Genomic DNA, 11022 nt, shown 5'->3' on the forward strand with positions numbered 1-11022 from the left:
CGGAAAGATGCAAGTTCTCTGTAGCCTGTCTCAACAGGCTGTGCCCTCCCTGCCCTGGGAGGAAGGCCTCTTGCCTCTAACTCCAGCGTCGTCATTGGTCCTCCCTCAGTGCTCCCCATTCAAATCACAGCACCAGCACACCCTCAGCTGATCAGGCCAGGAACCTGGAGCCATCCACAACTCCTCTCTTTCTCCCACCACTGGGAGAAAGAGAGAGGGTGGGAGTTCAATACCAGCCTGGCCAACATGGTGAAACCCTGTTTCTACTAAAAATACAAAAAAATTAGCCAGGTGTGGTGGTGTGCACCTGTAATCCCAACTACTCGGGAGGCTGTGCATAAGAATCGCTTGAACCCGGGAGGTGGAGGTTGCAGTGAGCTGAGATCGTGCCATTGCACTCCAGCCTGGGTATAGAGTGAGACTGTTCTCGAAAAAAAAAAAAAAAAAAAAAATTGAGTCAGTGGACTGGGAAAAGCAGACCCACCCTCAATCTGGGTGGGTGCAATCTAATCAGCTACCAGCACAGCCAGAATAAAAGCAGGCAGAAGAATGTGGAAAGACTAGACTGGCTTGGTCTTCTGGCCTGCATCTTTCTCCCATGCTGGATGCTTCCTGCCCTCAAACATCAGACTCCAAGTTCTTCAGCTTTGGGACTCTTGGACCTTCAGCCACAGACTAAAGGCTGCACTGTCAGCTTCCCTGCTTTTGAGGTTTTGGGACTCAGACTGACCTCCTCGCTCTTCAGCTTGCAGATGACCTATTGCGGGACCTCACCTGTGATCATGTGAGTCAATATTCCTTTAAAAACTCCCCTTTACATATACATCTATCCTATTAGTTCTGTCCCACTAGAGAACTCCGACTAACACAGATTTTGGGACCCTCTGCTTAAAACCTTCCATTGGCTCCCCACTATCGCAAAACAATTCTCACCTCCTAGCCGCAGCCTGTAAGGCCTTTTGTAATCTGCCCGCCATTACCTCTCCATCCTCCTCTCTTAGCATTCTTCCCCTCACTTGCTCTGTTCCATCCATTCTAGCCTCCCTGCTGTTACGGGAACACACTAAGCTTGTTCCTGCTCCAGAATCTTTGTACTTGCTGTTCCCTTTGCCCAGAATGCTCTTCCCCGGGGTGTCAATGTAGGTGGTTTCCTCTCTCCATTCGCTGGCTTGCCTCAAATATCACCCCCTCACAGAAGCCATCTGTGACCACCCAATCTGAAATAGTTGGAAAAGCTCACGCCCTCCCCCATACCACTTTAGCTATTGTGTGCGGGGCACTTAGCACATCGCCACCTGAAATGTATATGCTTACTTCTCTTTTTTTTGTTGTTGAGACAGAGTCTTGCTTCGCCGCCCAGGCTGGAGTGCAGTGGTACAATCCTGGCTCACTGCAACATCCACCTCACGGTTTCAAGCAATTCTCCTGCCTCAGGGTTCTGATGATTACAGGCACCTGCCACCATGCCCAGCTAATTTTTGTATTTTTAGTAGATACGGGGTTTTGACACGATGGCCAGGCTGGTCTCCAGCTCCTGGCCTCAAGTGATCCTCCTGCCTTGGCCTCCCAAAGTGTATAAGTTTACTTCTTGATCTGTCTGTTCAGGAGACTGTCAGCTTCTTGAGAGTAGTGAATTTTGTCTCTATTGTTCCCCGGTATATCCCAGGCTGCGGTCAGTGCCTGGCACATAGTAGATGCTCAATAGATATTTATCGATTGGAGGAACACAGCCCCACTCAACCCCAGGTTCCTACCGGGATACTCACGTCTACCACGGGGGTCTGGTTCACACCTGAAGCTGGAAACTGGGGGCTAATGTGAGCTCCTGTAGACGAGCCCCTAGTCCCAGACACTGTCTCCGCCATTAGCAGCACACAAAGCACACTCAGTGCCCAGCGCAGATTCAGCCTTCTGCCGGCCATCTGCCCCCACGGGGCCTGGCCCTTACTCTCCACTTCCCTTTCTGCAGTAGCTCAGTTCCAAACAGCTGGCGGCTCCGGTGGCCTGCAAGGTGGGAGTGAGAAAGGGGGACAACATTACTGAAAACCCATGGACACAGCAAAAGGGGCTGGAAGACTCTAGTTAAGGAACTGCCTTCCTGCCTCCCGGCAGCAAAGTTAAGCTGACGGAGAAACCATGTTCTGCACAGTCTCGCTGGAGGGGCCCAAGGCCCTGCCCATTCAGCGTGCAGATCAGATACGCCCTTCTTCCTGAGAACCCATGAAAACCTACCCAGTCCCACCTGGCCCCCAGCCTGAGGCCAGAATGCCAGGGCTGCAAGGGACTTGGGACTTGAGCCAAGATTCAGAGTCTCAGGCTTCTGGGGCAGGTGGGTGAGATACATGTGGGAAGTGGGCAGTGGGCGGGATTGCAGAAGCCCTCAAAACAAAACAAAACAAACTCTACTTCTAGGGGTGGACTTGGCCTCTGGGCCACCAGTTTGAGACGTAGAGAGGCTTGCCCACCACATTTTACAGAGCCCACTAAGCAATGCTGTTGTTCTGTGTCTTACAAGGAGCCAAGCTTTACATGGATGACCTCATTCTATCCTCACGACATGCCGAGCGGGGGTAGCACTAGCATTCCATTTTACAGATGAACTAACTGAGGCACAGACAGGTGAAGCCAGGCTTGTTTCCCCCCTGCATCACGCCTCCCTCATGCAGTCCTCAGAACAATTCTGGAAATGTCACCCCCCCGCCCCCCACCCCACCCTGCACAGCAGGGAGAGGGGCTCAGAGGAGTGTTTTTTGTTTTTTGTTTGTTTCTTCAGATGGAGTCTCACTCTGTTACCCAAGCTGGAGTGCAGTGGCGCGATCTCAGCTCACTGCAACCTCTGCCTCCCGGGTTCAAGTGATTCTCCTGCCTCAGCCTCCCGAGTAGCTGGGATTACAGGCACACACCACCATGCCCAGCTAATTTTTGTATTTTTAACGGAGACGGGGTTTCGCCATGTTGGCCAGGCTGGTCTGGAACTCCTAGCCTCAAGTGATCTGCCGGCCTTGACCTCTCAAAGTGCTGGGACTACAGGCGTGAGCCACCACACCCAGCAGAGGAATTCCAGAACCTGCCCAAGGTCACACAGCAAGAGGGTCACAGAGCCCACAGCCCCTCCGACAGGGAACTTAAGGGCAAGAAGGAAGTTGAGTTGCTCAAAGACCGCGGGTTAGCAGTGGGGCCGGGCTGGTCACCACCATGTGCCTCTTCCCTCAAGACCAGGGCCAAAATGGCTTCAATATATTTCAAAGGAATTAAACTGGAAAAACAAAAGTCCTCAGCAAACTAAATTTCCTGTTTTGGCTTTTTCATGTGTTCTACGATGAGTATGTCTTATTTTTGCAATCAGGAAACCAAACCCCATAAAAACGTTTTTTTCTTTAAGTCTGCGCAGGTGTTTCTCAATGTACTGGCAGCCTGAGGGGAGGGAGAGGAGGTAGGGAGGGGAAGAGAGGTCAGAAAGGCGCCTGTCCCAGCCAGGTTCCTTACCTGTCCACGGAAGACACGGCCCTTCCTCTTCTATGGTTCTCCCGAACCCCTCCAACTGGAGTCCGAGTTACTCTATTTGGCACCAAGTTCAAACAGGACACCCCTGGTTTCAAATTCGTCTCGGCCACTTACTATCTGTGTGGCCTTAAGGAAGTCACTTCACCTCTCTGGGCCTCTTATTCCTCATGTGTGAAATGGACACAAATGCTGGCCGACGCGGTATACAATAAGAGCTCAATAAATGTTCGCGTCCCTGATGTCCCCAACACCTGAAGATCAGCATGCGTCTCGTCTCTCTTTGCTGCCGATTTATTTTACTGATTCACTAGTGAGCATTTATTGAGCGCCTTCTGTACGCGTGGGCCGATGCCCAGCGCTCGGATGGTCGCCGACCTGCTAAGGGACAGGGGCGGGAAATCGGGGCTGCGCTTCCCAGGAAAGAGACCTCAGGAACATCTCCGTGCTCCGTTTCCCGTCCGGACGGAGGCTGAGAAGTCGAACTCGGGGCGCCCGGGTCCTCCGGCCGTGCGGGGAGGCGGCTCTTTCTTACCTCGGGCCGGGCCTGGGACCAGCAAACTCCGAACCTCGACCTCGCAGGGCCTCGCAGCCTTCCAGGTCCCTGGCCGCCGGACCGACCTTGCGCCAGCGAAGCCGCCAGTCCGGGTGCCCCGCCTGCTGCAGCGTCCGGGCCCCTACTCTTCCCGTCCGGGCCCGCCCCGGCTCGCCCCGCCCCGGTCTCGGCCACGCCCTCAGGACACGCCCCCTCGGGGCTCGCCCCGCCCCTGCCCTTAAAGGTACAGCTCCCGGGGAGCTTCGTAGGGTCTTCCCACTCTCCACCGTCCTCTCCCTCCGCTTTGAAACTGAGATACAAGCCGATGGGTAAGGACTGCAGGAAGCCGGAGAGGGACATTTAGAGGGTGAAACTAGGAGGTTCATTTCCCGAGGGTAGAGGAACCAGAGGGTGTCAAGCTGCTCCTGGTAATGAATGGTGACAAAGAGGTTTGGGAAAATCCCAGGTGGAGAAAGCCCCACCCTGCCCAGGAAAGTTCTCGCGGTTTCACTGAAATCCTTCTGAGATCCTAATTGGGTTCAACATTCCCCTCTAGTAGCATAGCTTTTTTTTTTTAATTTAAATTTTAATTTTTTAAGCCAGGGTCTCACTCTATCGCCCAGGCTGGAATGCAGTAGCAGCTGTCACGGCTCACTAAAGCCTCGACCTCCGAGGCTCAAGCAATCCTCCCACCTCGGCCTCCCAAGTAGCTGGGACTGCAGGCAAGTGCCATCATGCCCGGCTAATTTTGTTCATTTTTTGTAAAATGTTCTTACTATGTTGGTCAAACTGGTCACGAACTCCTGGGCTTATATAATCCTCCCGCCTCAGCCTCCCACGTAGCTGAGACCACAGGTGTGTGCCACCAAACCAGGCTAGTTTTTAAAATTTTTTATAGAGACGAGGTCTCTATATGTTGCCCAAGTTGGTCTCAAACTCCTGGTCTCAAGCGATCCTTCTGCCTCTGCCTCCCAAAGTGTCAGAGCTGTGTAAACCAGAGCAACTCCATCTCGAGTGGGGCTGGGTAAAATGAGGCTGAGACCTACTGGGCTGCATTCCCAGACGGTTAAGGCATTCTAAGTCACAGGTTGAGATAGAAGGTGGGCACAAGATACAGGTTATCATAAAGACCTTGCTGATAAAACAGGTTGCAGTAAAGGAGCCAGCCCAAACCCACCAAAACCAAGATGGTGACAAGAATGACCTCTGGTTGTCCTCACTGCTGCACTCCCATCAGCGCCATGGCAGTTTACAAATGCCATGGCAACGTCAGGAAGTTACCCTATATGGTCTAAAAAGGGGAAACATAGATAATCCACCCCTTGTTTAGCATATCATCAAGAAATAACCATAAAAATGGGCAACCAGCAGCCCTCAGGGCTGTTCTGCCTATGGAGTAGCCATTCTTTTATTCCTTTACTTTCTCAATAAACTTGCTTTCACTTTACTCTATGGAATCACCCTGAATTCGTTCTTGCGCGAGATCCAAGAACCCTATCTTAGGGTCTGGATCAGGACCCCTTTCCTGTAACAAAAGTGCTTGGATTACAGGTGTGAGCCACCATGCCCACCTTTTTATCTAATATTTAAAATTTGTATTTAATTTTTTCCCTTTTCTTTTTGCTAATCTCTGTATTGTTCCAATTTTAGTATATGTGCTGCCGAAGGGGGCACATAGCATCGTTTTTAAAAGAAGGTGGCAAACAAATCAAGACCGAGGAGTTAGTGATCTGCTGATGGATGTACCAGTATCTCCCCCTATTTCCAGTTTCCCAGCCTCCTGGGGAAGCTCTGTTCATCCTGCCTTTTCTTCTGTTGGGGGGATGGGGGAATGGGAGGAGGCAGGCATGGGGCCTGGACCTGGGGTCCTTAAGGCTGGAGTGTGTCCTCCCAGGCCACTCCTGCCTGCAGCCCCACTTCTGCCATTAGCATGCATCTAGTCACCCCATCTCTTATCCTTACGGTAGGACCTGCTTCCTCGTCATGGGCAGGACCCAGGCCCAACGCCAAGCCTGGCATTCAAGGCCCTTCAGCATCCAGCCCTAGCACACCTTTCTGAAATCGTCTTTCACCCCTACCTCCACCTCCTGCCCAGTAGTGCTCCCTGTTCCCTGAACGTATCGGCCTCTTGCTCACAGCCACCTGCCTCTGCTCCTTCCGAGCCCCCTGCCCTGATGACACCCTATCTCTTTTCCACCTGACAAACTCTTACTCATGTTGTCAGGCTCAGCTCAGAGGTCACCGCCACTAGGGGGTCTTCCACCCTCCCCCCAACCCCTCCACATGGCCACAGGGCTCCCCACCTTCAGAGCACACCTCTAATTCCCACCTCTGGGCAGGTGACATTGTGATCTGGAGCATGATGTGTTTGGAATCGCAGAACATCAGGTTTCTGTAGGACCTTCTATAAACACTTAGAGCCTCTCTTTGAGCCTCAGTTTCCCCCTTGGTGAAATGGGAGTGATACTAGTACCAACCTCCTGAGGTCCTTCCAGATGTTTTTCCTTATCTTTTTTGAGACAGGGTCTCCTTCTGTCACCCAGGCTAGAATGCAGTGGTGTGATCTTGGCTCACTGCATCCTTGACCTCCTGGGCTCAAGCGATCCTCCCGCCTCAGCTTCCCAAGTAGCTGTGACTACAGTCGTGTGCCACCATGCCTGGCTCGTTTTGTTCATTTTTTGTAGAGACAGGGTGTCACTATGTTGCCCAGGCTGGTCCTGAACTCCTGGGCTCATGCAATCCCCCCACCTTGGCCTCCCAAATTGCTGTGATTACAGGCATGAGCCACCATGCCTAGCTGAAATAGGACACTGTGAAGAGCCCCAAACCCCATGCTGGATGCTGAGTCAACACTCCCTCAGTGGAAGGGTTTGTTGTCCCCATTAATTATTCCATTGTTGGCTGGGCGTGGTGGTTCGCACCTGTAATCCCAGCACTTTGGGAGGCTGAGGTGGGCAGATCACCCGAAGTCAGGAGTTCAACACCAGCCTGGCCAACATGGCAAAAACCCGTCTCTACTAAAAATACAAAAATTAGCCAGGCATGTGGCACAAGCCCACAATCTCAGTTACTTGGGAGGCTGAGGCACGAGAATTGTTTGAACCTGGAAGGTGGAGGCTGCAGTGAGCCCAGATCATGCCACTGCACTCCAGCCTGGGTGACAGTGAGACTCCATCTCAAAGAAAAATAAAAAATAAAAATTATTCCATTGTTACAACAATGCATTAACTTACCTTTCCATGTCCCCCACAGGCTGGGAGCACCTCGAAGCAGCACCAGGCCAGGTTCATCCCCATGTCCAGGCTGCCAGCACAGGGGCGTTCACAGTAGTGTCTGTGTGTCACAATCTCCAAGCCTGCTCCGGGGTCATCCTACTCCGGGGTCAGCTTTTCCCCAGGTCATCTGCTGCTTGAGAAGTAACTCCAGAATTGCTGAGTTTGAAGTCCTCCTTCCCCAAGGGGCCTGACCCTGGTAGCTAGGGTGAGGCTTAGATATCACCATTCTAGGTCAGCAGAGCAGGTGGGTTACTACCTCCCTGTCTCCCAGGACTGGGGTAGAGCAGGAAGCAAGGGGTGTTGGGGGAGAGTATGAGTATCTGTTGAGAGACTCCTGGAAAGATCCAGGCGGGGAGAGGAACCCCTGGGGACAGAGAAGAAAGATAGATGGGGCCTGGGATAGCCCCTGGTTCACCCCTGCTCTGGTAGACAGTGGTTAGGGTTAGGGCCTATTCCCCAGGCTGAGAAAGGCCATTTTGACATGTTAGGAGCAGACTTAGAAGTCATCCAGATCCGAGCTCAAATCCCAGCTCTGCCATTTACTGGCTATTTGGCCCTGGACCAGTTATTTTGTCTTTTTGAGTCTCAGTTCCTTACCTGGAAAATGGGGATGAAAACAGCACCTATAGGGCCCACTCATCAGGCTATAGTGAGGATTGAGATTTTATATGTCGGCTGGGCACAGTGGTTCACACCTGTAATTCAGCACTTTGGGAGGCTGAAGTGGGAGGATTGCTTGAGGCCAGGAGTTCGAGACCAGCCTGGGCAACATAGCAAGACCCTGTCTCTACTATTATAATTTTAAAGAACAAGGAGATTATATAATAAAACCCATAGCATAGTGCCTGGCACTTGTTAAAGTTGAATAAATTGAAGCTGCTATTATTATTATTATTACTTTTTTTTTTTTTTTGAGACAGAGTCTTGCTCTGTCGCCCAGGCTGGAGTGCAGTGGCACAATCTCGGCTCACTGCCAGCTCCGCCTCCTGAGTTCACGCCATTCTCCTGCCTCAGCCTCCCAAGTAGCTGGGACTACAGGCGCCCGCCACCACGCCCGGCTAATTTTTTGTATTTTTAGTAGAGACGGGGTTTCACTGTGTTAGCCAGGATGGTCTTGATCTCCTGACCTCGTGATCCGCCTGCCTCGGCCTCCCAAAGTGCTGTGATTACAGGCATGAGTCACCATGCCTGGCCAAGCTGCTATTATTATTATTTATTATTATTACTGAAGGTAAAAGGACCTGACACAATGTCTGGCAGAGAGTAGATTAAATGTCGATTTACCACTTGAGCCCGGAAGGTCGAGGCTGCAATGAACTACGATTGTGCCCTTTCACTCCAGCCTGGGTGATAGAGCAAGACTCCCTCTCAAAAAAAAAAAAAAAAAAAAAAAAAAATTGAGAAGGATTTTGTGCTTGTATCAGTTACCTATTGCTGCATAACAAAACATGCCAAAATTTAGAGGCCTAATACAATAGCATTTCATTATCTGTCAGGGTTTCCATGGGTCAAGAATTTGGGAAGTCAGGAGGCCAGGGCAGGAGGATTGCTTGGCCTTAAAACAACTCAGGGAGGCCAGGCGTGGTGGCTCACACCTGTAATCCTAGCACTTTGGGAGGCCAAGGAGGGTGAATCACCTGAGGTCAGAAGTTCAAGACCAGCCTGGCCAACATGATGAAACTCCATCTCTACTAAAAATACAAAAATTAGCTGGGTAGGGTGGCGGGCACCTGTAATCCCAGCTACTCGGGAAGCTGAGGCAGGAGAATCACTTGAACCTGGGAGGCAGAGGTTGCAGTGAGCTGAGACCATACCACTGCTCTCCAGCCTGGGTGACAAGAGCAAAACTCCATCTCAAAAACAAACAACAACAACAAAAACAACATAGGGAGATCTTGTCTCTTATATACTTAAAAAAAAAAGGAGGGAAGGGCTCAGCTAGGCAGTTCTGGCACAAGTCTCTCCTTTGGTTGCCCAGATGTTTCTCATTCTTCCTGTCGCCTCAGGGCTTCTGCATGGGATTGTTCCATGCAAGCCGGTTTCTGGGTTTCCTTAGAGCATGGCCGTCCCAGGGCAGACATACTGCTTACATGGCATCTCAGGGTGCCAGTGCTGGGGTTCCAGGCATCAAAGCAGAAGCTGTATTGCCCTGTATTACTTCATTGTGGAAATGACACTGTGCCACTTCTTGTCACTTCTACCATCTTCACAGGCCCACCCAGATTCAAAGAGAGGAAATGTAGACCACTCCTCCCACCCCCCAGTGGGAGGTTTGTCAAAGTCACATCATAAGAAGAGCATATAAGGCTGGGTGAGTGGCTTATGCCTGTAATCCCAGCACTTTGGGAAGTCAAGGTGAAGGGATCACTTGAGGCCAGGAGTTCGAGACCAGCCTGGGCAACATACCAGCACCCCCATCTTGACAATAAATACAAAAATTAGCCAGGCATAGTGGCACTCACCTGTGATCTCAGCTACTCAGAAGGCTGAGGTGGGAGGATCGCTTGAGCCCAGGAGTAAGGCTGCAGGGAGCTATGATTCTGCCACTGCACTCCAGCCTGGGTGACAAAGCAAGATCCCAAATACAATCTCCCTCCATGCCTTCCTCTACAGAGGTGACCAATGGTGGGATGTTAGGCAGCATGATGGGCAGCAGAGGGGAGCTGTATTTAGGGGGTAGGAAGAGCAAGGACCCTCAAATCCCATTGGGTGGACATTTTCCTTCAGCATCACATGTGGGCTGATCGTGTCCTCAGAATCTTTGAACAAACCCCAAACCAATAAAAAGTAAATTACTATTTGTGTTTTGTTTGTTTGTGACAGAGTCTTGCTCTGTCACCTAGACTAGAGGGCAGTGGCACAATCTTGGCTCACTGCAACCTCTGCTTCTCAGGTTCAAACAATTCTTGTGCCTCAGCCACCTGAGTACCTGGGACTACAGGCGCTTGCCATCATGCCTGGCTAATTTTTGTATTTTTAGTAGAGATGGGGTTTCGCCATGTTGGCCAGGCTGGTCTCGAACTCCTGGCCTCAAGCAATCTGCTCGCCTTAACCTCCCAAAGTGCTGGGATTACAGGTGTGAGCCACTGCCCCGGCTGTAAATAACTGTTGAAGACTTAACATTTATTTTGAGTATGCACATGTTTGTCTCATTTAATAGACCAATGGGGTGAGAGCTACAATAATCTCCAGTTCACAGACGGGAAATTGAGGTTCAGGGAGATGAAATGGCCTGCCCCAGAGGCACCCACTGAGAAATGGCAGAGACTGGATTTGTACCCAGGTCTGAGTGATCCCAACTGAGTCCCCCTCACCACCACAAGGAGAGTGCCCTGCTGCACCTGAAGGTAAGGCCAGATCTGCCCGACACTTGGCATCCTGTTTAGGAGGCCCAGGGTGCGGGTGGCAGCTCTGGGCACAACACAATTGCCTGGGGACATTGTGAGCAGAAGTAGTGTGGCTTCATGGGGAACTCAAAAGAGGAAAGAGAGAGAATCAGAACTTTCAGTGTTAGTCTAAGAGGCCCAGAGACTTGGAAGGTTCCTTAAGACAGCACGAGTCTCACCTCCAACCAATACTTGTTCTCTCCCAATCACGGCAGCTCTGGAAAACCTTCATGCAGCACCTGCTCGAAAGCCCCTGGAGACAGGGTGCTCGTTACCTCTCAGGGCAGCCCAACTAACAGCAGCACACAGGAGAAGTTGTGAGGGA

At 51.4% G+C, this 11022-nt stretch overlaps 1 protein-coding gene across 4 annotated transcripts in view, besides 1 other annotated feature; it reads right to left on the reverse strand.

The window, feature by feature from the left end:
• SLC8B1 (solute carrier family 8 member B1) overlaps positions 1-4153 on the reverse strand; it is a 36339-nt gene extending 32186 nt beyond the window's left edge. For 2 of the 4 annotated variants that reach the window (NM_001330466.2, NM_001358345.2), the window contains exons 1-2: positions 3487-4153; positions 1767-2004 (exon numbers count right to left, since the gene is read on the reverse strand). In NM_001330466.2, the coding sequence (NP_001317395.1) occupies positions 1767-1922 (156 nt within the window). In that variant the 5' untranslated portion in view covers positions 1923-2004; positions 3487-4153. The remainder of the gene's footprint in view (positions 1-1766; positions 2005-3486) is intronic. The other 2 variants (NR_152403.2, NM_024959.4) reach the window with 2 other exon arrangements.
• Positions 4074-4363: a silencer, noted in NCBI's record as "silent region_4893". NCBI's record gives its function as "represses an Ori minimal core promoter by ATAC-STARR-seq in GM12878 lymphoblastoid cells {active_cell/tissue: GM12878}" and the evidence as "EXISTENCE:reporter gene assay evidence [ECO:0000049][PMID:35858748]".

Source organism: Homo sapiens, chromosome 12, assembly GCF_000001405.40.
Source record: "Homo sapiens chromosome 12, GRCh38.p14 Primary Assembly".
NCBI lineage: Eukaryota > Metazoa > Chordata > Mammalia > Primates > Hominidae > Homo > Homo sapiens.